Source organism: Homo sapiens, chromosome 6 (genome assembly GCF_000001405.40).
Source record: "Homo sapiens chromosome 6, GRCh38.p14 Primary Assembly".
Taxonomy (NCBI): domain Eukaryota; kingdom Metazoa; phylum Chordata; class Mammalia; order Primates; family Hominidae; genus Homo; species Homo sapiens.
The window spans coordinates 31,738,018-31,765,588 of NC_000006.12; the positions used below are offsets into that span (position 1 = coordinate 31,738,018).

Below are 27,571 nucleotides of genomic sequence, written 5' to 3' on the forward strand. Positions count from 1 at the left end.
CACAGAACTAAAACAGAGCTTGAAACTTAAAGAAAGGGAGAGACTTGGGGGAGGAGTGGGGTGGAGTGACGTGATGTGCTGCTGGAAACCAGCAGTTGGTGGTTTCCTCTTGTGCTTCCTCTTCTGTGGGTTTTCTCCTGCTTGTGGGAGGGCCTTTTTCTCTCCTCCCGACAGAAAGGCTATCTTTGGTGTTCGTTCCCTTGAACTGTAACATCCTGTAAGGGTATGATTCCATGCCTCTGTGTGGGTGTGAATTCCCTCATGGTGACCCTCAAAATCTGCACACAGGACCCCTTCCCATTGAGGGGAGGGGATCAAAACAACTCTACTTCTCAGGGTCCTCTCCTGTTCCAACTGGTCTGTGTCCAAGAGAAGCCTTAGGTAAATGGGGCCAGCTTGAAGATCAAACAGGTTTGGCAGCCTCTCCCGGCCTCTCTTTTCTCTCCTACAGCTTTATAGCTACAGCTGCCTTGATATCAATATTGACTTTGGCTGGCTGGCATGACTACCCACAGGGTATCGTGCCTTAATTTACCAGGTGACAGGCAACGCTGCCCTCTCCTGGAACCATCCAGCAGAGCCAGGGCTGTACCCCCAAATCCTGCAACAGAGGTTTCCCTCCATCTCACCTCCCTGTCCCTGCATTTCTCCTATCTCAGTAGCTCCTCTTTCCCTCTCTGGGCTTCTCTTTCCACTCCCTCCCCTTCCTGGGCTTGGTAAACTAGTCCCTAATCTCTTCACACCCCAGATTGGAAGGTGGGTCCCTCCCTGACACTCCCCAGAGCTGTCACCAACCTCCTCCAAGTTTCTATAGCTCCATTGCTCAACAGATTTGCCAGGGGTAACCATTAACCCAGCCCTTAACTCTGTTCCCCCACCTTTCTTGCTGGAGGGGATTTTCCAATTACTGGTTAGCACAGCTAGGTCATCTCACCCCCACCATCTTTCCTAACTTCTTGGGTTGGGGGGCTGGGGAGGAATCTCCCCATCTCAGGGTACTAGGAACAAAGCTGGGGAGGATGGTGCATTTAAAGGGATTATATATATATATATATATATTTTTTTTCTTTCTCCCTCATAACCCCACCCCCGCAACACACACACACACACACACACACACACACACACACACAGACGCACAAATAAGCTTTATGGAGCAGTGACTTCATTATGTTCACCGCTTTGAGTCCAACCCCTGGCCCAAAATAGGCACTAAATAGTTGCCGAATGCATGAATGATAGATACCTCTCTGTCTTCAGGGGTGTGTAGAAGTGCGAAGGGGTATGGGCATGTCCCAGTAGGGGTGTGAGTGTTCTGATCAGAACTACTTCTCTCTGCCAGAATTTGATGTAATTCGAATGCTTCCACCTCTGCTTGAAGGGTTTAAATAATAAATTAGGCCCTGTCGTGCCATTATGGGGGTGGTCATACCCTGTACCCAGGAAACAGGCACGGTAGGGCTGAGACAGAAGTCCTGCTTGTTTCCGCTTATTTATTTGAAACACCGCTCATTTAGGTCTTACTTTGTTTGCCAGGCACTGTTCTAAGCTCTGTATAAATATTAACTCAGAGGGTACAAATATTAACTTAAGAGTTGTTGCAGGAAAAAAAATAAGCGCCTCTGGCTCTTTAAGTTTGGCCTCCCCCTCAAAACCCCCGCAACGGTCCCAAACCCCTTCCAGGGACTGGGACTACGGACCCTGGTCCGACCTTCTCGCGGGCTTCCCACTGCGCCAATCAAATCCCAGAAACAGTGAGTGCTAGAGGCCCGGCTGCTAAGCAACGGCAGAGGGCGGGAAGTTTGAACGTTCTGGACCCGCCCCGAAGGCAAATAGGCCAATCAGCGTCCAGACTCTTCAGCTACGGCAGTCCGCTTCTCCTCCTCGCCCTGTCGGATCTCTAGGCTGGATCCGGGCCTCTCCAATCAACAGCGGTTAGGAGGGCGGGGCGCGTGCGCGCGCACCTCGCTCACGCGCCGGCGCGCTCCTTTTGCAGGCTCGTGGCGGTCGGTCAGCGGGGCGTTCTCCCACCTGTAGCGACTCAGGTTACTGAAAAGGCGGGAAAACGCTGCGATGGCGGCAGCTGGGGGAGGAGGAAGATAAGCGCGTGAGGCTGGGGTCCTGGCGCGTGGTTGGCAGAGGCAGAGACATAAGACGTGCACGACTCGCCCCACAGGGCCCTCAGACCCCTTCCTTCCAAAGGGTAACCTCCGCGTGACAGGAATGAGGGTGGGGCGCGTGGAGTTTCCCACAATCTGTACTTTAGTTAAATACCCGAGAATTCACCTCCTGTGTCCACAGCTCTCCACGCCCCTCAGCCCTGCCCCGCAGCCCTGTAGCAGAAGTACTTAGTGCTTTGCATTCTGCGCGCCACCCTACCCCGGCCTCCTCTGTGAATCGTTGCTTCCGAACCGCCCTCACTTTTTGCATCCGCAGAGCCTCCAAGCTCATGGCCTCCTTAGGAGCGAACCCAAGGAGGACACCGCAGGGACCGAGACCTGGGGCGGCCTCCTCCGGCTTCCCCAGCCCGGCCCCAGTGCCGGGCCCCAGGGAGGCCGAGGAGGAGGAAGTCGAGGAGGAGGAGGAGCTGGCCGAGGTCTCTGAGGGGAGTAGAAACTTGAATGGAGAGTTGATGGGAAGTTAGAATAAAAGAGGGTTGGGAGCCGGGCGCGGTGGCTCACACCTGTAATCTTAGCACTTTGGGAGACTGAGGCGGGCGGATCACCTGAGCTCAGGAGTTGGAGACCAGCCTGGGCAACATGGCGAAACCCCGTCTCTACTAAAAATATAAAAATTAGCCGAGCGTGGTGGCACGTGCCTGTTATCCCAGCTACTGGGAAGGCTGAGGCAGGAGAATCACTGTAACTCGGGAGGCGGAGGTTGCAATGAGCTGAGATTGCTCCACTGCACTTCAGCCTGGGCGACAGAGCAAGACTCCGTCTCAAAGAAAGAAAGAAAAAAAAAACAGGGTTGGGAAGAGCTGGGCAAGTCTCTTACCTCCTGAGTGGCTGTTTCACATTCACTAAATGGGGGTGATGATGCCTATCTCAGAGATTTGAGAAAATGATTAAATTATATAAGACATGGTAAACCCTACACTTATGAGTGATTCTAATAGTGATTTCCTTTCTTCCTTGCTGGACAGATCCATCTGTGTGTGCTGTGGAATTCAGGATACTTGGGCATTGCCTACTATGATACTAGTGACTCCACTATCCACTTCATGCCAGATGCCCCAGACCACGAGAGCCTCAAGCTTCTCCAGAGAGGTGGGGATGGAACCATGAATTCCTCTGCTCTCTGGGATTGCAGATGTGTTACACACACACACACACACACACACACACACACACACACACACACACATATTTTTTTTTTCTAGACAGAGTCTTGCTCTGTTACCCAGGCTCAAGTGCAGTGGCGCAATCTTGGCTCACTGCAGCCTCCACCTCCTGGGTTCAAGCAATTCTCCTGACTCAACCTCCCGAGTAGCTGGGACTACAGGCGTGTGCCACCACACCCAGCTAGTTTTTTGTGTGTGTTTTTAGCACAGACGGTGTTTCACCATGTTGGCCAGGGTGGTCTCAAACTCCTGACCTTGTGATCCGCCCACCTTGGCCTCCTAAAGTGCTGGGACTACAGGTGTGAGTCACCACGCCCAGCCATGTTTTACTTACATTAACTCACCTCACTGTCTAGCATATTTTGTGTTGCTGTAAGGAAATACCTGACTCTGAGTAATTTGTTAAAAAAAAAAAAAAAGTTTTATTTGGCTTATGGTTCTGGATGGTTGGAAAGCTCAAAATTGGGCATCTTCACTGGTGAGAGCCTCAGACTGCTTCAACTCATGGAAGAAGGGAAGGCAGGGTGTGTAGAGGTCACATGGCAGAGAAGAAGCAAGGGGGAGGGAGATGCCAGGCTCTTTTTGACAACCAGCTCTCTCAGGAACTAATAGAGTGAGAACCTCTCACTCATACCCACCAACACACTCCAGGAAGGGCATTAATCTGTTCATGAGCGATCCACTCCCATCACCCACACACCTCCTGCTAGGCCCTACCTCACAACACTATCACACTGGGGATTAAATTTCAACACGATATTTGGCAGGGACAAATCACATCCAAACTATAGCACTGACTCAATATATTTTACAGTTGCTTCACAGAGGCTCCCTCTTTTGTTTTTATGAATTCATTTCATTATTTAACAAATATTTGTGAGGCTGTTTTTTGGTTTGTTTGGTTGTTCTTTTTTGAGACAGTGTCTTGCTCCGTCACTCAGGCTGGAAGTGTAGTGGTGCCATCTTGGCTCACTGCAACCTCCGTCTCCCGGATTCAAGCAATTCTCCTGCCTCAGTCTCCCGAGTAGCTGGGATTACAAGAATCTGCCATCACGCCTGGCTAATTTTTATATTTTTAGTAGAGGCAGGGTTTCACCACGTTGGCTAGGCTTGTCTTGAGCTCCTGGCCTCCAGTGATCTGCCTGCCTTGGCCTCCCAAAGGGCAGGGATTATAGGCATGAGCCACTGTGCCTGGCCACAAATATATATGACGTATTTACAATGTTTCAGGTGCTTCAGATTCAGCCCTGGGCAAATCAGTCATGTCTGTTCTCCAGGGGTTTACAGCCTAGTGACAACATCCAGAACATCCCACTTCCCTCTCACCATCCCACCACTCTTAACTACTTTTCTAAATCTCAACTTCTACCTGTGTTCCCACTGTGCAGAGCACTCCCTACTCCTAGGGAGGAAATGTTTTTGAGAAGGAGAGGGGTAGGAAGAGGAGGGCTATGGGTTTTCTCTTAGTCAAAGACAAAGATCCTTTAACTCATTTGATCTCTGTTCTCCTTCCAAGTTCTGGATGAGATCAATCCCCAGTCTGTTGTTACGAGTGCCAAACAGGATGAGAATATGACTCGATTTCTGGGAAAGCTTGGTAAGGACTTGGTAAAGGATAGAGGGAAAATGGGGAAGGACTAATATATGGAATATTCCAGGGGGCTAGAATTGGGTGAGAGGGAGTGTCAGACAGAGGTAGAAGGACTGAGATGTAAAGAATGATAGCCTTTTCTTTCCTCCCCCACAGCCTCCCAGGAGCACAGAGAGCCTAAAAGACCTGAAATCATATTTTTGCCAAGTGTGGATTTTGGTATCTCCTTCCTTTTGCTTTGCCTAACTCCCTGTTCCGGTGTCCCATTCTTTCCCCCAACTCTACCTTCATCATCACAGATCTCCCCTCTGCCTTATGTCATCCTAAACCTTTGTGCTCCTCATGCCCTATGACCTGTCCCCCCAAGATCTCTCCTGCTCCCTACCCTTTAATAACCTGCAGCTTATTGGGAAGCCTCTGCTTAAGTCATGTCTAGGGATGAGGGCCTCCCCTGAGGAGTGGTGACACTTTTTGGACAGGGTTTTATTGTTGGAATTCTCCCCATTAAGTTAAAGCCTTTTATCACCAAACCAAAAGGCACTGCCTCAGTGACCCTTATTATGATCCATAAGGCACTTCTATAACTTTCCTAGGTTTACAATAAGAACAGGAGTGTACTATCCTAATTAGATATTAAGGCATTAGTGTTACTAGTTCTATTAATACCATTATTTTGACCAAAATCCTCAATTCCAGACAGATGTCTACTTTCCTCAGCCATTTATCTTTCTCAGGCTGTGCTTTCAGACAAGTATCTTTATATTATATGTAGAATAAAAAGAGAATTAGACTAAGAGTCTGAAAATTTGGTTCTTGCTCTAGCTTTCCATTAACTGCCTGTGTGAGCTTGGGCAAGTCAAATAATCTCTCTTGCTTCTATTGTCTCATTCTTAAAATGGGGTGAAAAAATTGAGCTACAAGACCGTTCCCTTTGCTTGCCTCCCTCAAATAGGTCTGGAGATAAGCAAACAACGCCTCCTTTCTGGAAACTACTCCTTCATCCCAGACGCCATGACTGCCACTGAGAAAATCCTCTTCCTCTCTTCCATTATTCCCTTTGACTGCCTCCTCACAGTGAGATTGGTCCTGGGGGATAAGGGCTGGGAGGCGGCACAAGTGCTAGGGCTGAATTCTGGGAGGTACTGGCCTAGCCCTGGAAAATAGTAACTTTCCCTGGTGCTCTGCAGCCCCCAGGAGATTTAAGATTTACCCCGATTCCACTGCTGATCCCCTCCCAGGTTCGAGCACTTGGAGGGCTGCTGAAGTTCCTGGGTCGAAGAAGAATCGGGGTTGAACTGGAAGACTATAATGTCAGCGTCCCCATCCTGGGCTTTAAGAAATTTATGTTGTAGGTGATTCACCCCAACCCCAACCAAAGTAATGTGGGATTGGGAGGCCTGAAAAGTAAAGTGGGGGTGGGGTGTGGATGTGGCTGTGACCCAGTGGGTCAAGTGCTCTAGGACACCCGGGAGAATCTAAGGGCTAATGAGACTTTGGGAAGAAGACTGGGACAATATTCAGAGAGGGGGACAAAGGAAGTGGAGTTGTGGAACGAACTCAGACTGCTTCCTGCTTTTTTGTTTTCTGTCCTCAGGACTCATCTGGTGAACATAGATCAAGACACTTACAGGTAAAGAGGTGGAGGCATGCTGCTGTCTCTGGGGAGGGAGAAGGATTAAGTTTAATGCCCCAATAATCCTAATGAGGCTCTAGTTTCCCTAATCCTGGGGCTATTAAGATCTCTCTCCTTGAAGGAAAGGGAAGGGGGGTTTTGAGGGAAAGAGAGGAAGAAAAGCATAAAGATACTAGCTTTCTTTTCTATAGGGAGAAACTGAGGCAAAGAAAAGTAAGGGACAAACCTTACATCAAGATATGATCTCGGCTGGGCGCGGTGGCTCATGCCTGTAATCCCCGCGCTTTGGGAGGCCAAGGCGGGTGGATCGCCTGAGGTCAGGAGTTTGAGACCTGACCAATATGGTAAAACCCCGTCTCTACTAAAAATATAAAAATTAGCTGGGTGTGTTGTGCGCCTGTAATCCCAGCCACTCAGGAGGCTGAGGCAGGATTGCTTGAATCCAGGAGGCAGAGGTTGCAGTGAGCTGAAATTGCACCACTGCACTCCAGCCTGGGCGACAGAGCGAGACTCCATCTCAAAAAAAAAAAAAAAAAAAAAAAGACGTGATCTCAGGAGGATATCCCCTGTCCCCATTCCATTTATCAGTCCTCAATTCTTATTCCCTTCAAAAGTCCAAGTTACCCCAAACTCCTCCATTTCTCCTCGACAGTGTTCTACAGATTTTTAAGAGTGAGTCTCACCCCTCAGTGTACAAAGTGGCCAGTGGACTGAAGGAGGGGCTCAGCCTCTTTGGTAGGTGTGCCCCATCCCTCATCTCACATTACAAAGACCTACCAGAAAAGCAATTGGCTCCAAAGATGTGTCCCAGCCTCCCTTCCCACTTCACTCCCATTGTCAGATATCTCTTTCATGCCAATCCAAATTTCTTACCTATTTGTACCCCCCGCCCCCCAAGCTTGAGCATCTTCCCATACTTTGTGGCTGTACAGTGTTGTTGCATATCAGCCATTACTTTACCAATTCTGTGTTCCTTCCCTGGGTTTGTATGAATGTTTCTACTAGTTGGGTACCTGTTAGGGACTTTGGGAGACCTTGTGTATAGAGAAGAGTTTTGTAACTGCATAACTGCCTATTTGATTTGTATAGAGTCTTTATCAGTTGTCTCTGGCTTTAGGGTATATTAGGGACATCTCCGCAAATATCCATATAGTTTCATATCTCAGTAAGTTGTGTCCAGGTTTTTTTTTTTTTTTTTTTTGATACAGAGTCTCGCTCTGTCGCCCAGGCTGGAGTGCAGTGGTGCAATATCAGCTCACTGCAAGCTCTGCCTCCTGGGTTCACACCATTCTGCTGCCTCAGCCTCCTGAGTAGCTAGGACTACAGGTGCCCACCACGATGCCTGGCTAATTTTTGTATTTTTAGTAGAGAACGGGTTTCACTGTGTTAGCCAGGATGATCTCGATCTCCTGACCTCGTGATCCGTCCACCTCGGCCTCCCAAAGTGCTGGGATTACAGGCGTGAGCCACCGCGCCTGGCCAGTTGTGTCCAGTTTTGTGTGTGTGTGTGTGTGTGTGTGTGTGTGTGTGAGACGAAGTCTCGCTCTTGTCCCCCAGGCTGGAGTGCAATGGTGCGATCTCGGCTCAATGCAACCTCTGCCTCCTGGGTTCAAGCGATTCTCCTGCCTCAGCCTCCTGAGTAACTGGGATTACAGGCACCTGCCACCACGCCCAGCTAATTTTTGTATTTTTAGTAGAGACGGGGTTTCACCATGTTGCCCAGGCTGGTCTTGAACTCCTGACCTCAGGGGATCCACTCGCCTCAGCCTCCCAAGGTGCTGGGATTACAGGCATGAGCGACCGCGCCCGGCCGTCCAGTTTTTTACATATGTGTGTTGGGCTCTTGAGTTTTTTGTTTGTTTGTTTGTTTTTTAGATGGAATCTTGCTGTGTCACCCAGGCTGGAGTGCAGTGGTACAATTTAGGCTCACTGCAACCTCCGCCTCTTGGGTTCAAGTGATTCTTCTGCCTCATCCTACCTCAGCCTCCTGAATAGCTGGAACTACAGGCCTGCACCACCATGCCCAGCTAATTTTTTTGTATTTTTAGTAGAGATGGTGTTTCGCCATGTTGCCCAGGCTGGTCTCAAACTCCTGAGCTCAAGTGATCCTCCTGCCTTGGCCTCCCAAAGTGCTGGGATTATAGGCATGAGCCACCCTGCCCGGCCAGCTATTGAGTTTTTGTATTTTTGGAGGGGCGGGAGGGCTCTTGAGTTTTTTGTGTTTTGTTTGTTTGTTTATTTGTTTCGTTTTGTTTTGAGACGGAGTCTTGCTCTGTCACCCAGGCTGGAGTGCAGTGGCGCGATCTCCGCTCACTGCAAGCTCTGCCTCCCGGGTTCATGCCATTCTGCTTCAGCCTCCCGAGTAGCTGGGACTACAGGTGCCTGCCACCATGCCCGGCTAATTTTTTGTATTTTTAGTAGAGACTGCGTTTCACCATGTTAGCCAGGATGGTCTCGATCTCCTGACCACGTGATCCGTCTGCCTCGGCCTCCCAGAGTGCTGGGATTACAGGCGTGAGCCACCGTGCCTGGCCAGTTCTTGAGTTTTAACTAGGTCTGCTTTGTGTATTTTTCTGGCTAAGTGTCCCTGTGAGTGTCCATCCCTTCCCCCATCTCCATGTACGGTAATCCCAGCTCATATTTGTGGCCAGGCACCAGCTTTGGCTGCCTTTGTGCCCTCCCAGGCCAGCTTCCTCAACAACCAGCACCTCTGACCTGGATGCCTCAGCTTAGACACATAAACACATTCCATTCCCTGTCCCTGCCTTGTAACAAGTTCACTCCCTGCCTTATCCCTCACAGGAATCCTCAACAGATGCCACTGTAAGTGGGGAGAGAAGCTGCTCAGGTGAGTGGGTCCCACACATACTACACACTAATGCATGAATTCCATATGCACACTACATACTAAAGCCTACTAATGGCAGTATACAGATTCTCACATACACCACCCCACCTAGTAGTAGTAAAGCAACTGCCCTTTACTGAGCACTGGCTAACTGCATTTCATCCTTATAACAGCTTTGTGTAGTAGCTGATATGCATCTCATTTTTTGTTGTCAGCGCAGGTACACATATACCCATTGATGATACACAGACTTGCACACATACAAGCAGCAGGAAAAAACACAAAATGTAAGGCCGGGCACAGTGGCTCACACCTGTAATCCCAGCACTTTGGGGGGCCAAGGTGGGTGAATCACTTGAGGTCAGGAGTTTGAGACCAGCTGGCCAACATGGTAAAGCCCCATCTCTACTAAAATGCAAAAATTAGCCAAGCGTGTTGGTAGGTGCCTGTAATTCCAGCTACTCAGGAGACTAAGGCAGGAGAATCGCTTGAACCCAGGAGGTGGAGGTTGCAGTGAGCCAAGATTGTGCACTGCACTTCAGCCTGGGCAACAGAGTGAGACTCCGTCTCAAAAAAAAAAAAAAATGCTAATGTAACACATGGCTATGTTAGCATGGTTATCTTTAGTTATAGAAAACACACTTCACATTTCTGTGATGACTCTCAAATTTGTGTCTCTAGTTTTGAACTCCGTATGTGAATGTTAATTGCATATCACCACCTGCAGTTTTCACAGGCAGCTCAAACTCAGAGCATCCAAACTGATGCCCACCAGATCTGTTCCTCTTCCTGCATTCCCTTTGCTGGTTAATGGCATTGCTGGCAGTACACCTTCTCAAGCCATGAACCTTGGATTGATGCTAGAAACAAAAAACCTGTCATTCCAAAACAGAGATCTAAGCATGTCACTCCTTTTTTTTTTTTTTTTTTTTTGTGACTGAGTTTCGCTCTTGTTGCCCAGGCTGGAGTACAATGGCACGATCTCTGCTCACTGCAACCTCCACTTCCCGGGTTCAAGCAATTCTTCTGCCTCAGCCTCCCAAGTAGCTGGGATTACAGGCGCCCACCACCACACCTGGCTAATTTTTGTATTTTCAGTAGAGGCGGGGTTTCACCATGTTGGTCAGGCTGGTCTCGAACTCCTGGTGATCCGCCCACCTCGGCCTCCCAAAGTGCTGGGATTACAGGCATGAGTCACTGCGCCTGGCCGTCACTCCACTTTTTAAATAGCCTAAGTAGAAAGAAAATAACATAAACCTTAGGAGGTTTTCCCATTACCTTCAGGATTAAGATTAGCATCTTAAGCAGTATAATGATGTTCAGGGTCCATCACGTTTACCCCAGTTTTAATTTCCAGACTCACCTTCCAAAGCCCCTTCTAAGTCCTTTCCTACTGGATCTACCTTATATTCTAGTCATTTAGGGCCACTTGCCATTATGGAAACATGTCATGCCTGTGTTTATGCTGCTCCTTCTGGAAAGTCTTTTTTTTTTTTTTTTTGAGACGGAGTCTCCCTCTGTCACCCAGGCTGGAGTGCAGTGGCGCGGTCTTTGCTCACTGCAACCTCCACCTCCCAGGTTCAAGCAATTCTCCTGCCTCAGCCTCCGGAGTAGCTGGGATTACAGGGACCCACCACCATGCCTGGCTAATTTTTGTATTTTTAGTAGAGATGGGATTTCACCATGTTGGCCACGCTGGTCTTGAACTGCTGACCTCGTGATCTGCCCACCTCGGCCTCCCAAAGTGCTGGGATTACAGGCATAAGCCACTGTGCCCGGCCTGGAAAGTCTTTTCCTTGTTCTGTACCTATCAAAATCTTACATCCAGGTCAGGCGCGGTGGCTCACGCCTGTAGTCTCAGCATTTTGGGAGGCTGAGGTGGGTGGATGATTTGAGGTCAGGAGTTCAAGACCAGCCTGGCCAACTTGGTGAAACTTCACGTCTACCGAAAATACAAAAATTAGCCCAGCATCATGGCGCATGCCTCTAGTACCAGCTACTCAGGAGGCTGAGGCAGGAGAATTGCTTGAACTCGGGAGGTAGAGGTTGAAGTGAGCCCAGATTGCCCCACTGCACTCCAGCCTGGGCAACAGAGTGAGATTCTGTCTTAAAAAAAAAAAAAAGTGCATCCTCTTCAAGGTGCAATCCAACTGTTACCCTTTGGCTTTTACAGGTACCTGTAAGGAGTTGATGTGCACCTTCTTTGTGCTCACATAGTGCTTGTTTATGTTTTTCTAGTTGCACTGTCACATCATGTTAGAATTAGCAGTCAGTGAATCTGCTTGCCTCCATAGCTATGAACTCTATCTAGTAGCTATACCTGTTACCTCAGTGTCTGACACATGGTCTTGTACATAGTAGCACTCAATGTGTGAACACAACGCAAATGTAAACGCACTGGTGACATCATCTCTAAACAGAGTGGAAACCTTTGCTAGCCTCAGGTGCACAATCCTTCCCCTACCTCACCTCCCGCTGCAATATGTATCTTGTAGGAGTTAATTTAGGATAATCTCTGAGGTCATCTCCAGGTAATCAGCATCTCCAGGAATCGGCAGGGTAATTTAATTACCCACACATTCTTCAGTGCTTCAGGTGCAGATCTTTAATCTCAGCCACAGATGGGAGGGAGAGAATTCTCAGTGGAGAAGAGAGCTGGATTTAAGGTCGGGGAGGAATGCGTATTCCCCAAATGGAATCAGACAGGGCATGAGATCATATAACTTGAAGAATCATCATATAATCTAATGAACTAAGGACAGGTGACATATTTATTAATATTTCTGTATACGAATTTATTTTAATTTATTAGGAAATACCTCTAACGTACAAAAAGATGTAAATAATAATATAGGGCCAGATGTGGTGGCTCACGCCTATAATCCCAGCATTTGGGAGGCTGAGGCAGGAGGATTGCTTGAGGCCAGGAGTTCAAGAACTAAAAGCTGTACAGGCACCAAGAATATGACTGAATGTCACAGTATGCTCTAAAGGGCACTGTCCTAGGAGTCTGGAGACATGATTTTGAGACTTAGCTGTTCTCATTGGCGGTATGACTTTGGGCAAGTTGCTTATCTTTTAACGGTTTCATTTTCTCAGTTGTTAAATTTACAGTTTGGTTTAACTAAAGTCTCTCCCAGTACGAGCAGGGCGTGAGTCAGAGATACCTAAGTGTTTAGTGCAGCGCATGTGCTTTCTAAAGTGGGGATGGCTATTTACAGACTGGCCTACACTGTTCTGGTGGGAGCCCTCAGTGACCAAGGAGCAGAGGTACCTGAAACCCACCCTTGAAGCCATCTGGATGCTCCGCTTCATTCAAATCTGGGGTGTTCTAACCCAAAGTAACTGGCCACAGACTGCAATGTAAGATACAAATCTTCAGGACCTAGTGTGTGCACATGTTGGCTCTTATATAAGATGGCATCCTTAGTACTTGTTCTATGTAGAAAAGAATTTGTGGGCTCACAAGTCCCTACAGAGTCTCACACTCTCATGGCCAATAAGTATACAGGGATACCCGGAATTAGACAAACACAGATGAGACATTTATTTCTGTATATGAATTTATTTTATTTATTTATTTATTTTTTGAGACAGAGTCTCACTCTGTCACCCATCCTGGAGTGCAGTGGCCTGGCTCATTGCAAGCTCCACCTCCCGGGTTTACACCATTCTGCCTCACCCTCCCGAGTAGCTGGGACTATAGGTGCCCGCCAACACGCCCGGCTAATTTTGTTGTGTTTTTAGTAGAGACGGGGTTTCACCGCGTTAGCCAGGATGGTCTTGATCTCCTGACCTCGTGACCCGCCCTCCTTGGCCTGCCAAAGTGCTGGGATTACAGGCGTGAGCCACCGCACCTGGCCTGAATTTATTTTCATTTATTAGGAAATACCTCCAACACACAAAAAGATGTAAATAATTAGCCGGGCGTGGTGGCTCATGACTGTAATCCCAGCACTTTGGGAGGCCGAGGCAGGTGGAACACCAGAGGTCCGGAGTTTGAGACCAGGCTGGCCAACATGGTGAAACCTCATCTCTACTAAAAATACAAAAATTAGCCGGGAGTGGTGGTGCACCCCTGTAATCCCAGCTACTCCAGAGGCTGAGACACGAGAATCGCTTGAACCTGGGAGGCGGAGGTTGCAGTGAGCTGAGATCGCACCACTGCACTCCAGCCTGGACAACAGAGCAAGACTCTGTCTCAGAAAAAAAAAAAAAGATGTAAATAATAATACTATCGGGCCAGGTGCAGTGGCTTATGCTTGTAATCCCAGCACTTTGGGAGGCCATGGCAGGAGGACTGCTTGAGGCCAGGAGCTTGAGAACAGCCTGGGCAACATAGCAAGACCTCGTCTCTATAAAAACTATTAATAGTAATACAAATGGCCAGGCGCAGTAGCTCATGCCTGTAATTCCAGCACTTTAGGAGGCTGAGGCAGGCAGATCACCTGAGGTCACGATTTTGAGACCAGCCTGGCCAACACAGCGAAACCCTATCTCTACTAAAAATACAAAATTTAGCTGGGCATGGTGGCACACACCTGTAGTTCCAGCTGCTGGGGAGGCTGAGGCAGGAGAATCACTTAAGCCTGTGAGGCAGAGGTTGCAGTGACCCGAGATCCCGCCACTGTACCCTAGCCTGGGCGACAGAGCAAGACTCCATCTCAAAAATAATAATAATAATACAAATATCTATATATCCATCAGCCAATTTAAGAATAAGACATGCCGGGCGCGGTGGCTCATGCCTGTAATCCCAGCACTTTGGGAGGCCGAGGCGGGTGGATCACAAGGTCAGGAGTTCAAGACCAGCCTGGCCAAGATGGTGAAACCCCGTCTCTACTAAAAATACAAAAATTAGCTGAGCACAGTGGCGGGTGCCTGTAATTCCAGAACCTGGGAGGTGGAGGTTGCAGTAAGCCAAGATTGTGCTACTGCACTCTAGCCTGGGCGACAGAGCAAGACTCTATATAAAAAATAAAATAAAAAAAAAGAATAAGACACTATTGGCCGGGTATGGTGACTCACGCCTGTAATCCCAGCACTTTGGGAGCCGAGGCGGGCAGATCACGAGGTCAAGAGATCGAGATCATTCTGGCCAACATAGTGAAACCCTGACTCTACTAAAAATACAACAATTAGCTGGGCATGGTGGCGCATACCTGCAGTCCCAGCTACTCGGGAGGCTGAGGCACGAAAATCACTTGAACCCGGGAGGTGGAGGTTGCAGTGAGCCGAGATCGCATCACTGCACTCCAGCCTGGCGACAAAGCGAGACTCTGTCTCAAAAAAAAAAAAAAAACGAAAGAATAAGACGTTGTTGAAGCCCCTTAAATGTCCCTCCCCAATCCTTTTTTCTCTGCAGTGTTGACCATTATTATGAATTAAAGCTTATCATCCCTAATGGGACAGTTATGTTTTCACAGGAAGAATATGAAAAGATGAATGTCTGTTGCTGTTACCCAGAGACACTTTCACAGCTAAAAAGACATACAAACTCATACTGACTCACCGTCTCTTACTCAGCCTCAGAGTGAGCTGCAGTGTTGGCACACAAATACCTCAACACACTGCTCTCCTTCTAAAATATTGACAAGCTCCGTTACTTATATACATGGAATGACACACGGTCTTATCCGTTGAAACTGTGATATGTAGACACAATTATGCTCACATCTAGCAATTTTCAGTAGATACATGTAAACACACCTGAATGGGTAGGACACTGCACTTGCCACTACATTCCCATAGCACATCGTGGATACATATTGCCACAATCCCCAGGGACTGCAAGCACACTTTTTGGCAAACTGAGATCAAGATGATAGATGTAACTTGTAGTACCCCCACCCAAACCCTCACTTCCAGGCTATGGTTCACACGTCCGACTCATGACCTGGGGGAGCTCAGTTCTCGTCTGGACGTCATTCAGTTTTTTCTGCTGCCCCAGAATCTGGACATGGCTCAGATGCTGCATCGGCTCCTGGGTCACATCAAGAACGTGCCTGTGAGCCCAGGGTGGAGGGCAGGGAGGTGGGGAAGGAGGTTGAGGGCTGATACTGGGCAGTGGGCTTCTTGAGGGGCATTAGAGTGAGGGAAGAGAAAACAGCGGCTGTAACCTTGTCTGACTGTAGCTGATTCTGAAACGCATGAAGTTGTCCCACACCAAGGTCAGCGACTGGCAGGTTCTCTACAAGGTAAGGCCTTCCTTCTTGAATCCCAAAAGTCCAGGTAAAGGCCCTCAGCCTGTATTCCAGACTGTCTGTACCCTAGACATGCTGTCCAATTTTATTCTACCCTCTTTTTTTTTTTTTTGGAGACAGCCTCGCTCTGTCGCCCAGGCTGAAGTGCCATGGGGCGATCTTGGCTCACTGCAACCTCCGCCTCCTGGGTTCAAGCAATTCTGCCTCAGCCTCCCGAGAAGTTGGGATTACAAGCGCCCGCCACCATGCCTGGCAAATTTTTGTATTTTTAGTAGAGACAGGATTTCACCATGTTGGCCAGGCTGGTCTTGAACTCCTGACTTCAGGTGATCCACCTGCCTCAGCCTCCCAAGGTGCTGGGATTACAGGTGTGAACCACCAGGCCCGGCCTCCCTCTTTTTTTTTTTAACTTTGTATTCAGGAAAATGTAAAAAATATTTAGAATAATATAATTAACCCCCATGTACCCACCATGCAGTTTCAACACTTTAACTTACGCCAATTTTTTTTTATTTCTTTTTCTTTTTTTTTTTAGACAGAGTCTTGCTCTGTCGCCCAGGCTGGATTGCAGTGGTGCGATCTCGGCTCACTGCAACCTCTGCCTCCCAAGTTCAAGTGATTCTCCTACCTCAGCCTCCCAAATAGCTGGGATTACAGGTGCCCACCACCACACTGGAGTGATTTTTGTATTTTTAGTAGAGATGGGATTTCACCATGTTGGCCAGGCTGGTCTCAAATTCCTGGCCTCAAGTGATCTGCCCATCTCGGCCTCCCAAAGTGCTAGGATTATAGGTGGGAGCCACCGTGCCCAGCCTAGTATGTGTCATCTATATCTTTTTCTACTTTCCCCTCTTGGATTATTTTGTGGGTTTTGTTGTCGTTTGTTTGTTTTTTTAAATAAGGTCCTGCTTTGTCACCCATACTAGAGCAGAGTGGTGCAGTCATATTTCATTGCAGCCTCTAACTTCTGGGCTCAAGCAATCCTCCCACCTTAGCCTCCAGAGTAACTGGGACTATAAGCCTGAGATGCTGCACCTGGCTTTCTTGGATTATTTTGAAGCAAGTCCCAGCCATTATATCATTTCATCCATAAATATTTCAGTGTAATTTCTTTTTTCTTTTTTTTTTTTTTTTTGAGATGGAGTCTCACTCTGTCACCAGGCTGGAGTGCAGTGGCATGATCTCGGCTCACTGCAACCTCCGCCTCCCAGGTTCAAGCGATTCTCCTGCCTCAGCCTCCCATGTAGCTGGGATAACAGGCACATGCCACCATGCCCAAGTTTTTTTTTTGTATTTTTAGTAGAGACAGGGTTTCACCATGTTGGCCAGGATGGTCTTGATCTCCTGACCTCGTGATCCACCCGCCTCGGCCTCCCAGAGTGCTGGGATTACAGGCGTGAGCCACCTCACCCGGCCAATATTTCAGGGTAATTTCTAAAAGAAAATTATTTTTTAAAAAGAATAACAGTATTGTTATCTTACTTTAAAAATTGTATTATTTGGTATCATCAAATATCTGAAATTTTTCTTTTTTGAGACAGGGTCTCACTCTGTCACCCAGGCTTGAGTGCAATGGCACAATTGTAGCTCACTGCAGCCTCAAACTGTTGGGCTCAAGCGATCCTCCCCCCTCAGCCTCCTGAGTAGCAGGGACCACAGGTGATGGCCATCACACCGAACTAAGTTTTTATTTTTTGCTTGCATTTATTTATTTATTTATTTATTTATTTATTTATTTATTTTTGAGACGGGATTTTGCTCTTGTAGCCCAGGCTGGAGTGCAATGGTGTGATCTCGGCTCACCGCAACCTCCACCTCCTGGGTTCAAGTGATTCTCTTGCCTCAGCCTCCCAAGTAGCTGGGATTACAGGTGCGTGCCACCACGCCCAGCTAATTTTGTATTTTTAGTAGAGACAGGGTTTCTCCCTGTTGGTCGGGCTGGTCTCGAACTCCCGACCTCAGATGATCTGCCTGCCCCGGCCTCCCAAAGTGCTGGGATTACAGGCGTGAGCCATTGCACCTGACCAATTTTTTATTTTTTGTAGAGACAGGATCTCACTATGTTGCTCAAGGTGGTCTCAAACTCCTGAGCTCAAGTGATCCTCCTGCTTGGGCCTCCCAAAGTGCTGAGACTATTGGTGTGAGCCACGATGCCCAGTCAGATGATGGCCCTAGTCCTTTTTAATCTACCGGTTCCTTCTCTATCTTTTCTCTCTTGTTCTTTCTTTCTTTTTCTCTTTTTCTTCTCCTGGCAATTTGTTGAAGAAACTAGATTATTATTTGTCTTATAGTGTTTTCCATTAGCCTGGATTTTGCTGTTTGCATTTCCTAGATGTTTTTGGCACATTTCTCTCTCTTCTATAGTTTCTGTAAATTAATATTTAGTTCTAGAAGCATGATTAGGTTCAGAGTTTTTTTTTTTTCAATACTGTTTTAGAAGTAGAGGAACATAATGTCTGATATGTCCGATTGTCTCTCTTTTTCTGATGTTGGCAAATGTTCTGATGTTTAATACCTAAATCTATTATTCATTTATTTATTTATTTATTTAGTTTGAGGTGAGTCTCCCTCTGTCGCCAGGCTGAAGTGCAGTGGCACGATCTTGGCTCACTGCAACCTCCGCCTCCTGAGTTCAAGTGATTCTCCTGCCTCAGCCTCCTGAGTAGCTGGGACTTACAGGCGCACACCACCACGCCCAGCTAATTTTTGTATTTTTAGTAGAGACGGGATTTCACCATGTTGGCCAGGATGGTCTTGATCTCTTGACCTCAGGTGATCCACCCGCCTCAGCCTCCCAAAGTGCTGGGATTACAGGCGTGAACCACTACACCCAGCCATCTATTAATTCTTTAGCAATTACAAAGTAGTAGCATTTAAATCTCTGATTCTTTCTTCATTTATTAGCCAGAAATTTCTGTAAAGAGAAACTTCCTTTTATGTACTATTTGGTTGCCAAGTGATAGAAATCATATAGAAATACAGAAAATTGCTTGATATTTCCCCCACTCTTTTTTTTTTGAGACAGAGTCTTGCTCTGTCACCAGGCTGGAGTGCAGTGGCACAATCTTGGCTCACTGCAACCTCCACCTCCCGGGTTGGGTTTCAAGTGATTCTCCTGCCTCAGCCTCCCGAGTAGCTGGGACTATAGGCGTGTGCCACCATGCCTGGCTAATTTTTGTATTTTTAGTAGAGACAGGGTTTCACCATGATGGCCAGGATGGTCTTGATCTCTTGACCTCGTGATCCACCCGCCTCGGCCTCCCAAAGTGCTGGGATTACAGGTGTGAGCCACCATGCCCAGCCCTTTTTTTTTTCCCCAATATGGAACGCTTCTTGAATTTGTGTCATCCGTGCCCAGTGGCCGTGCTAATCCCTGTAACCTTCGAAATTTCAGTATATGTGCTGCAGAAATGAGCACCCCCCACCTTTATTTACTAGCTATCAATATGGTAAATTAGTTCCCTAACATTCTCCAAGATAGCCATGAGATTTTTTTGTTTTTTGTTTGTTTGTTTGTTTGTTTGTTTGAGATGGAGTCTTGCACTGTTGCCCAGGCAGGAGTGCAGTGGCGCGATCTCGGCTCACTGCAAGCTCTGCCTCCCGGGTTCGCGCCATTCTCCTACCTCAGCCTCCTGAGTGCCTGGGACTACAGGCGCCCGCCACCACGCCTGGCTAATTTTTTGTACTTTTAGTAGAGACAGGGTTTCACCCTCTTAACCAGGATGGTCTCAATCTCCTGACCTCGTGATCCACCCGCCTCAGCCTCCCAAAGTGCTGGGATTACAGGTGTGAGCCACCGCGCCCGGCCCTGATAGCCGATGAGGTTTTTTTGTCATTGTTCTTCTTGTATCATTACAGACTCATGGCCTTTTATAGCTATATTTCTCTTTCTCCCGACTCTGTACAAACTCCTTTGTTTTAGAGTTTGCACAACCCTCTATCAAAGCACCTACCACCTCACTTTTAAATCTTCTGCATGTATTTCTGTCTTCCTTCCTAGACTGTGAGCACATCTGGGACAGGGACCATATCTTTTTTTGTTTATTTGTTTTGTTTTGAGACAGAGTCTCGCTCTGTCGGCCAGGCTGGAGTGCAATGGCGTGATCTGGCTATAACCTCCACCTCCCGGGTTCAAGAGATTCTCCTGCCTCAGCCTCCCAAGTAGCTGGAATTACATGTGCATGCCACCAAGCCCAGTTAATTTTTGTATTTTGAGTAGAGACAGGGTTTCACCATGTTGGTGAGGCTGATCTCGAACTCCTGACCTCAGGTGATCTACCCACCTCAGCCTCCCAAAGTGCTGGGATTACAGGCATGAGCCACTGTGCCTGGCCAGGACCATATCTTAATTGTCTTTGTAGTTTCAGTGTTTGGTACAGTGCCTCTCACTGTTTCTTTTTGCCTTTGAGATCTTCCCTCTTTGTTACTGTGATCTTCCCTACTGGTCTTTGTTCTTCTGAGTCTGTCCCTATCACCACCTCAACCCGAGCTGGATGTGGCCTGTCCTCCTTTTTGTGTTTCTCTCACAGACTGTGTACAGTGCCCTGGGCCTGAGGGATGCCTGCCGCTCCCTGCCGCAGTCCATCCAGCTCTTTCGGGACATTGCCCAAGAGTTCTCTGATGACCTGCACCATATCGCCAGCCTCATTGGGAAAGTAGTGAGTAGAAGGAAAAAGGGAGTGCACCCAGGGAGGTCAGGGAGAGAGAATGCAGTGTGCAAGATGGGGAAACATGGAAGATATTGAGGTCAATTGGATAAAGAATGGGATGGTGGGAGGAGGCAGCAGAACTTCAGGGAAGTATCTGGAGGGTGAGAGTTAAAGGAGGACTGCAGGGAGAATTGGGGCCCAAGGAGAGCTGAGGAACAGGACAGAGGGTGCCAGGTCCTAAGAAACAGTACTTATCTCCTCAGGTGGACTTTGAGGGCAGCCTTGCTGAAAATCGCTTCACAGTCCTCCCCAACATAGATCCTGAAATTGATGAGAGTGAGTGTTGGGTGTGGATGGGCCTGTGAGCCCTGCGCAGTGATGGAGTACCATCCTTGGCAGGTGGTCACCACAGCTGGGGATCTTCATAGCAACCAGGGCAGGAGACTCACTTTTGATAACCACGTGTCTTCCACCCTCGTAGAAAAGCGAAGACTGATGGGACTTCCCAGTTTCCTTACTGAGGTTGCCCGCAAGGAGCTGGAGAATCTGGACTCCCGTATTCCTTCATGCAGTGTCATCTACATCCCTCTGGTGAGGGCAGGAGAGTGGGTGTAGCCTTCAGATGTCTTTTGGGGGAGATATTAGGCTTATGAAAGACATACTGGTAGATAAGAAAACTTGTGGGGCAGCCTGAAGAACATGAACACTTTTTTGTGGGGATACAGGGATCTTTTAAGCTCCCTCTAGGGTGGGGAGGTGTCCAGTAAGTCTCCAAGCAGGAGAGTAGAGTATCTCCTCTTTACTCTCCCCAGATTGGCTTCCTTCTTTCTATTCCCCGCCTGCCTTCCATGGTAGAGGCCAGTGACTTTGAGATTAATGGACTGGACTTCATGGTAAGACCCTCAACCTCTGTAAGGTGAGTGATGAGGAAAATGAGTCAGCAGCTGAGGAAGAGCGTTACTCTACAGCAGCACTGCCCAATATGGGATCTCTCCTCTGTAGTTTTACTCTGAGCTTTACCAGCACTGAGACAAAGGAAAGAGAAGTCAGAGTTAGGGGCTGGAGGTGGGGTTAGAAAGATGGGGAAGGAGAGGAGGACCAAGAGATGCAAAGTCCACAGCTTTGAACCCCTGTACCCAGTTTCTCTCAGAGGAGAAGCTGCACTATCGTAGTGCCCGAACCAAGGAGCTGGATGCATTGCTGGGGGACCTGCACTGCGAGATCCGGGGTGAGGAAAAGCCAGAGGTTATATGCATTGTAAGATGTTTAAAAAAAGCAGCAGCCAGGGGAAGGAGGGGAGTGGGCAACTTGGGGATGCTTCCAACAGGCCCCTCCTCTTCCTGCTCTCTGTCTCGCTCACTCTGACTCTATCTTTTCCTCTGAATGTCTTGAGGTCTCAGATTGTATCTGCAACCTGTTTCCAGATCCCCCTAGGGGCCTCTGCCTCTCCTTCACTTTCCCCTGGAACTGACCTCCAGCTCCCTTCCTCACCCACTCCCAGACCAGGAGACGCTGCTGATGTACCAGCTACAGTGCCAGGTGCTGGCACGAGCAGCTGTCTTAACCCGAGTATTGGACCTTGCCTCCCGCCTGGACGTCCTGCTGGCTCTTGCCAGTGCTGCCCGGGACTATGGCTACTCAAGGCCGCGTTACTCCCCACAAGTCCTTGGGGTACGAATCCAGAATGGCAGGTAAGAATAGAGGCGGGTGGAGGAATAGACATGAGGGGCCCAAAGGCTACATCTTCTGGGGGTTCATCTATCTTGATCCACAAGCCATGCGAGGTGCCTCTCCGCCCACTGCAGACATCCTCTGATGGAACTCTGTGCCCGAACCTTTGTGCCCAACTCCACAGAATGTGGTGGGGACAAAGGGAGGGTCAAAGTCATCACTGGACCCAACTCATCAGGGAAGAGCATATACCTCAAACAGGTGAGGAGAAGCCCTGCAGCCTGGGCCTCTGGCGTCTCCTGCATCTACTCCACCCCTACTTGCCAGCCAACTCAGGCTCCTGCAGCTCTTCTCCCATTTTCTGACCCCGCTCTTCATGAAAGGACCATCACCCACATCCCTGTGCTTCCACCTCACATGTTCTTATTCTCCACTGGAGAGCCATGCTCTAATGGAACTTTCCGTGGCCCAAATTCCTTCACCTGCCTCTGAGTAGGTACACACCACTCCCAAGTATGTCTCTGCCCACGTCCCGTGCCTCTTCACTGATTCTAAATTAGCCCACAGGGCTATGGTCAGGATTCGGGGAGGAGAGACAGAGTCAGTGTGTCTGTTACCTATTTCTCCTGTTTCACCCTGTCCATTTCTCTTTGATGTGCCATTCATGCCTTGAGCCTCACTTTCACCTCAGCCCACGGCACCAGGCCCCAGGCCCTGTCTCCTTCCCTATTCAGGTAGGCTTGATCACATTCATGGCCCTGGTAGGCAGCTTTGTGCCAGCAGAGGAGGCCGAAATTGGGGCAGTAGACGCCATCTTCACACGAATTCATAGCTGCGAATCCATCTCCCTTGGCCTCTCCACCTTCATGATCGACCTCAACCAGGTCAAAGGGAACAAAGGGAGGTGGGATTGAGGAAGGGGATAATGGGAAAGGAACCCCTGAAAATGCTCATAACAGGAAAGCATGCCCTCTGCTGCATGCCCTTTATACTAAAAGTGGGGAGCACTAAGGTCAGAGATAAGAAGAATCAATACCATAAACATTTCTTGAACCCTTGTTTCATGTGAGTCACTGTTGGCAAAGAGGATGAACAAAGCGTGCACCTCACCATTCAAGAACTTGCAGTGCAGTAGGGAGGGCATGTATACAGCTTTATTCACAGGCCAACTGTGGTCAGTGCGTTACGGGCTTCCAATACTAACTTTCCCTTGTCCACCTTATACCCAGCAGGTGGCGAAAGCAGTGAACAATGCCACTGCACAGTCGCTGGTCCTTATTGATGAATTTGGAAAGGGAACCAACACGGTGAGGGGAGAAACTGATGAGGGGAGAAACTAAGGAGGGGAAAATGGAGGAGGATGAAGGAGCATGACAGTGAGGCTGGGCCTCTGGAATGGAATAGGGCTGTGTGGGCAGAAAAGAAATAGAACACGAGACAGGGAAAGGCAGTGCAAGTGCAGAGGGGCATATGGGGTCCCCATGGCTCCGAATGCTAACCTCTGCCCTCTTTGCAGGTGGATGGGCTCGCGCTTCTGGCCGCTGTGCTCCGACACTGGCTGGCACGTGGACCCACATGCCCCCACATCTTTGTGGCCACCAACTTTCTGAGCCTTGTTCAGCTACAACTGCTGCCACAAGGGCCCCTGGTGCAGTATTTGGTGAGGAGACCAATCTAGCTCCTCGGGGACCCCCAGGCTGGGCATTTCCCAGAGGTGGGGATTGGCTCCTCTATCAGAACAAGGGCTCCCTCAGCACAGAGACCACATCCCTTCCCTTTTCTCCCTCCCCACAGGATTGGCCAAGGGTTTCAGGACAGGAAGGAGGTGATTGATGATACACTGTCTTTTATTCTCTTTTAAGACCATGGAGACCTGTGAGGATGGCAACGATCTTGTCTTCTTCTATCAGGTTTGCGAAGGTGTTGCGAAGGCCAGCCATGCCTCCCACACAGCTGCCCAGGCTGGGCTTCCTGACAAGCTTGTGGCTCGTGGCAAGGAGGTGATGAGATCCAAATGTGCAACCACCTCCACATCAGAGCTCCCTTTCATTCCTAGTCCTACTGGGCCTGGGTCTAGGTCCACAGGATTTCTGACCCTTATTTCCCCTTCTCTTCCCCACTCCCCTTACTCCTCCCACCTTCTTGCTTGTTCCTAGGTCTCAGACTTGATCCGCAGTGGAAAACCCATCAAGCCTGTCAAGGATTTGCTAAAGAAGAACCAAATGGAAAAGTGCGTATATGGCCCCAGTGTCTTTACCCTCTCTGCATCTTCTCCTGCAACTCTTCTCCCCTTTTCAGGGACTCAGCCTTCCTCCAGCACTTTGCCCTTCAGAAACCCACCATTTCTTTCTGAAATCCCTAAATCTTCAAGATCCCAGGTTTTCTGTGCCACAGCCTCTCCCCTCTGCCCAGGGATTTGGTTGTCCATTCTGCCATAAATCTTGCGATTTTCTCTCTTCTTCAGTTGCCAGACATTAGTGGATAAGTTTATGAAACTGGATTTGGAAGATCCTAACCTGGACTTGAACGTTTTCATGAGCCAGGAAGTGCTGCCTGCTGCCACCAGCATCCTCTGAGAGTCCTTCCAGTGTCCTCCCCAGCCTCCTGAGACTCCGGTGGGCTGCCATGCCCTCTTTGTTTCCTTATCTCCCTCAGACGCAGAGTTTTTAGTTTCTCTAGAAATTTTGTTTCATATTAGGAATAAAGTTTATTTTGAAGAAAGATATTGTTTCTTTAGTCTCAAAACAAGAGACTAGGAAAGATCCAAAACACAGAGCAGGAGTCCACAGGGGAACCTGCCCTGCCTCAGTAAAAATACAGTGTTGTTGCTGTAGGAAGACTCCCGGATTCTACCCCAGGATACTTCATGAGAACGAACCCCTTCAGAGAGGCCCTACAAAACAGATTAGAGGGAAGACAGAGGGGTCCAAGGGAGATGGTCTCTCTTCTCAAGTAGGAACACCCCAGCCTCAGACAGACACAGCAGGAAGGGGCCTGAGAGGCTGACAGAGGCAGGATGGGTGCAAGGCAGGGGTGGAGGGGAGGGACCAGCCCGGGCTGCACCAGTGGGAGTGGCTCCACCCTTCCCACCTCAGAGCCATGGGGAGCCAGGGCTCTGGCGGGGTGCCCTTGGTGCAGGCTCCCTACACAGTCCTGCTGCTGCCGCTGGGGACAAGCCGCCAAGACCCAGGGGCCCAGAGCTTCTTCCTTTGGGTGAGTATCAGCCCAACAAGAGGTCCCAGGGGAACTCTCTCAATAGATCTGCCCTTTATATTTCCATTCAACTTGAGGGCCCACAGTGTTCCCGCCTGCCTCCCCTTGCCCTCCAGGTCCTCAGTGGCCAGTCTGGGTTCACACTCAGTGACCACACAGTGAACCCAACTAGGGGTGGAGAGAAAGGGCCATAACCCAGAGCCCTACTGTGGCGTGAGAGTCAGCCTCTGTGATTGCCTTTCCCAGCTACGCAGGATGCAGGCTCTGGAGAGAGAACAGGATGCCCTGTGGCAGGGTCTGGAGCTGCTACAGCATGGCCAGGCCTGGTTTGAAGACCATCTGAGGGAGGCACAGCGACAGCAGCTGCATCTAGGGGCCCTTGGTGAGGTATGGGGGCTGCCCCTCTGTGTGAATGGGGGGAGGACCAGGGAGGGAGGAACAGGGAATGTGTAGACACAGCCTGAGACCACTCTGGAGAGGGGAGAGTTAATGGTCAGGGATCATGAGTTGGAGGCAGCATCGTAATGACAGGATGCCACCAAGTGTTAAGTTGGTGTTCATTGTTGGGGCTGGAGGAAGCTGGTCTGCATTCCATTCAGAGGGATTTGGATCACTCCATGGAGATGAGGGTGTGGCCTGGATTATTCCAATGGGGCAGGGATGGACAGGGAGGCTCCATGAAGAGTAGTGAAAGGGGGTATTGTGCTATTTGAGGGAGATGGAGGAACTGATGTGCTAAAGAGATGGAGGTGGAGAGTACTGGATTTTCCCACCTGCCTGGGAGGGTACTGGGACGAGGGGATCCAGATGAGAGGGATGGCCTGTGGTGACAGGAATAGAGTGGCAGACGACCTCAGGTTTTCACCATGTTGTCAGCCTCCAACTCCTCCTCTAGAATTTTCTAACAGATTTACACTCAGAGCCTGGTCGCCCCCCGTTAGCCCAGATTCAAAAGGTGAACATCTGTTTGCAGAATCTGATTCATGAGAAGGTGAGTTTATTGTTTTCAGTTTAGACTTTTGGGAAGTTGGACTAGAGAGGGGAGTTGTTGGGGTCAGTGCTGGCTTAACAGAAAACACAGCGAATTTCCCCTCCAGTTCTCCCCAAGTCCACTGAACAAGGCTAGTTCCTGCACCACCCAGGATTCAAAGGAAAGACGAAGGGAGCAGAACTTGTGGCAGCAACAGGTAAACTTCAAGAAGGAGGGCAGGAGCCCCACCCTACAGGGCTGGGAGGAGCCCAGAGGCCCCATCTGTTTCTCCTCCAGGAGTTGTCAAGGCAGCAGAAAGGAGTCACCCAGCCAAAGGAGGAGATGGCTCAGCGGGGCTGCACCAAGGGGCCAAGAGGCCCTACCCGTGTCTAAACCCTCCTCTCACTCCCCTAAGCCTGGTGAAAGAGTCAGAAGCCCCAGGCTCCTTTTTCTGTTTCTTAACTCAACAGCTAAAAAATGGCTCCAGGTAGTGAGTCAATGAAGTTCAGACATGTTGGTGTAAAGTTTCTCCTCTGCTCCTGAAAACTTCATCTTCTTGGTGTCTCATGTCCTCATTCTCCCCTATATGACATGCAAAAACGATCTTTCTTTGAAATCCCTCTGGGAAGAAGCATGTTTATTGAAACTGTCCTTCAGCCTTAAATACAAAAATAAAACTGAAACTGCTCCAGAAAGCAGCTTTCTCCAAAAATGTCTTTGGTTTGTTTCTCATAGGGTTAGGAAAAGTGCATTGTGGGAATATCCATTGCCCTCTATCCCAGTCTTGCAGGGTGTTTTGTTTTGTTTTGTTTCTGAGATAGGGTCTCACTGTCGCTCAGGCTGTAGTGCAGTGGTTCGACCACAACTCACTGCAGCCTCAACCTCCTGGGCTCAAGTGATCCTCCTGCCTCAGCCTCCCAGAGTGCTGGGATTACAGGCGTGAGCCACTGCACCCAGCCCCAGTCTCGAAGTTTCTAAGAAAGGAAAGGGATGTGATGGAGAAAGAAAACCTTCATTGGCTGGGCACGGTGGCTCACGCCTGTAATCCCAGCACTTTGGGAGGCCGAGGCAGGCAGATCACCTGAGGTCAGGAGTTTGAGACCAGCCTGGCCAACATAGTGAAACCCTGTCTCTACTAAAAATACAAAAAATTAGCCGGGCGTGGTGGCGGGCACCTGTGATCCCAGCTACTTGGGAGGCTGAGGCAGGAGAATCGCTTGAACCTAGGAGGCAGAGGTTGCAGCGAGCCGAGATTGCGCCGCTGCACTCCAGCCTGGGCAATGAGCAAAACTACATCTCAAAAAAAAAACAACAACAACAAAAAAGAGAAAACCTTCATCCCAGCTAGGAGAGGTAAGGTCCTAAGACCTATGTGACAAATGTGTCCCAGGTCTTCTTACCAATGGGGCAGGTTGAAAATAGTGCTGGAGACCCATCCCTTTAGAGCCCG

General features: G+C 49.0%; 2 protein-coding genes, 2 long non-coding RNA genes and 1 pseudogene across 7 annotated transcripts, besides 4 other annotated features; 3 read left to right on the forward strand and 2 right to left on the reverse strand.

Annotated features, from left to right (window-relative positions):
* Positions 1,430-2,060: an enhancer, noted in NCBI's record as "NANOG-H3K27ac-H3K4me1 hESC enhancer chr6:31707224-31707854 (GRCh37/hg19 assembly coordinates)". NCBI's record gives its function as "activates a minimal SCP1, AML or CMV promoter by ChIP-STARR-seq in naive H9 embryonic stem cells {active_cell/tissue: H9 hESC(naive)}" and the evidence as "EXISTENCE:reporter gene assay evidence [ECO:0000049][PMID:30033119]".
* Positions 1,931-26,833, forward strand: MSH5-SAPCD1 (MSH5-SAPCD1 readthrough (NMD candidate)). Its single transcript, NR_037846.1, has 29 exons — positions 1,931-2,045; positions 2,437-2,596; positions 3,146-3,269; positions 4,860-4,940; positions 5,091-5,153; positions 5,887-6,008; positions 6,122-6,282; positions 6,529-6,564; positions 7,220-7,302; positions 9,370-9,415; positions 15,284-15,422; positions 15,550-15,612; positions 20,148-20,276; positions 20,531-20,603; positions 20,749-20,858; positions 21,080-21,160; positions 21,408-21,495; positions 21,769-21,958; positions 22,073-22,199; positions 22,673-22,822; positions 23,171-23,245; positions 23,455-23,598; positions 23,801-23,938; positions 24,095-24,168; positions 24,403-25,151; positions 25,398-25,538; positions 26,047-26,142; positions 26,249-26,338; positions 26,419-26,833. It is a non-coding gene; the product is annotated as an MSH5-SAPCD1 readthrough (NMD candidate) (long non-coding RNA).
* Positions 1,988-24,659, forward strand: MSH5 (mutS homolog 5). 4 transcript variants are annotated; one of them, NM_002441.5, is made up of 25 exons: positions 1,988-2,203; positions 2,437-2,596; positions 3,146-3,269; positions 4,860-4,940; positions 5,091-5,153; positions 5,887-6,008; positions 6,173-6,282; positions 6,529-6,564; positions 7,220-7,302; positions 9,370-9,415; positions 15,284-15,422; positions 15,550-15,612; positions 20,148-20,276; positions 20,531-20,603; positions 20,749-20,858; positions 21,080-21,160; positions 21,408-21,495; positions 21,769-21,958; positions 22,073-22,199; positions 22,673-22,822; positions 23,171-23,245; positions 23,455-23,598; positions 23,801-23,938; positions 24,095-24,168; positions 24,403-24,659. In NM_002441.5, exons 2-25 carry the CDS (start codon positions 2,450-2,452, stop codon positions 24,512-24,514), a joined length of 2,505 nt encoding a protein of 834 aa, NP_002432.1. In that variant the 5' UTR covers positions 1,988-2,203; positions 2,437-2,449; the 3' UTR covers positions 24,515-24,659. The 4 variants fall into 4 exon arrangements, with proteins under 4 accessions (NP_002432.1, NP_079535.4, NP_751897.1 ...); NM_025259.6 differs by having other exon boundaries at positions 1,988-2,045; positions 6,122-6,282; positions 23,168-23,245; positions 23,801-23,848; NM_172165.4 differs by having other exon boundaries at positions 1,988-2,045; positions 23,168-23,245.
* Positions 2,061-2,692: an enhancer, noted in NCBI's record as "NANOG-H3K27ac-H3K4me1 hESC enhancer chr6:31707855-31708486 (GRCh37/hg19 assembly coordinates)". NCBI's record gives its function as "activates a minimal SCP1, AML or CMV promoter by ChIP-STARR-seq in naive H9 embryonic stem cells {active_cell/tissue: H9 hESC(naive)}" and the evidence as "EXISTENCE:reporter gene assay evidence [ECO:0000049][PMID:30033119]".
* Positions 2,472-2,690: a silencer, noted in NCBI's record as "fragment chr6:31708266-31708484 (GRCh37/hg19 assembly coordinates)". NCBI's record gives its function as "represses an EF-1alpha promoter that drives an FKBP-Casp9 reporter gene in an ReSE screen in K562 erythroleukemia cells {active_cell/tissue: K562}" and the evidence as "EXISTENCE:reporter gene assay evidence [ECO:0000049][PMID:32094911]".
* On the reverse strand, positions 18,934-19,036 carry RNU6-850P (RNA, U6 small nuclear 850, pseudogene; annotated as a pseudogene).
* Positions 24,639-26,833, forward strand: SAPCD1 (suppressor APC domain containing 1). Its single transcript, NM_001039651.2, has 5 exons — positions 24,639-25,151; positions 25,398-25,538; positions 26,047-26,142; positions 26,249-26,338; positions 26,419-26,833. The coding sequence occupies exons 1-5, from the start codon at positions 25,038-25,040 to the stop codon at positions 26,512-26,514; spliced, it is 537 nt and encodes a 178-aa protein (NP_001034740.1). The 5' UTR covers positions 24,639-25,037; the 3' UTR covers positions 26,515-26,833.
* Positions 25,233-25,788: an enhancer, noted in NCBI's record as "H3K27ac-H3K4me1 hESC enhancer chr6:31731027-31731582 (GRCh37/hg19 assembly coordinates)". NCBI's record gives its function as "activates a minimal SCP1, AML or CMV promoter by ChIP-STARR-seq in primed H9 embryonic stem cells {active_cell/tissue: H9 hESC(primed)}" and the evidence as "EXISTENCE:reporter gene assay evidence [ECO:0000049][PMID:30033119]".
* On the reverse strand, positions 26,118-27,571 carry SAPCD1-AS1 (SAPCD1 antisense RNA 1). The gene is made up of 2 exons (NR_126423.1): positions 27,522-27,571; positions 26,118-26,703 (listed from the first exon to the last, which is right to left on the reverse strand). It is a non-coding gene; the product is annotated as an SAPCD1 antisense RNA 1 (long non-coding RNA).

What these genes read in the sequence shown, in the direction of transcription:
- MSH5 (NM_172165.4), top strand. Translation starts at nt 2,450, where the DNA reads ATGGCCTCCTTAGGAGCGAACCCAAGGAGGACACCGCAGGGACCGAGA. An exon ending in ATAGATCAAGACACTTACAG is followed by an intron (nt 6,565 to 7,219) that starts GTAAAGAGGTGG and finishes TCTCCTCGACAG; the next exon opens with TGTTCTACAGATTTTTAAGA. An exon ending in TTGGAAAGGGAACCAACACG is followed by an intron (nt 23,246 to 23,454) that starts GTGAGGGGAGAA and finishes CCCTCTTTGCAG; the next exon opens with GTGGATGGGCTCGCGCTTCT.
- SAPCD1 (NM_001039651.2), top strand. Translation starts at nt 25,038, where the DNA reads ATGGGGAGCCAGGGCTCTGGCGGGGTGCCCTTGGTGCAGGCTCCCTAC. An exon ending in AGAATCTGATTCATGAGAAG is followed by an intron (nt 26,143 to 26,248) that starts GTGAGTTTATTG and finishes TTTCCCCTCCAG; the next exon opens with TTCTCCCCAAGTCCACTGAA. An exon ending in AGAACTTGTGGCAGCAACAG is followed by an intron (nt 26,339 to 26,418) that starts GTAAACTTCAAG and finishes TTTCTCCTCCAG; the next exon opens with GAGTTGTCAAGGCAGCAGAA.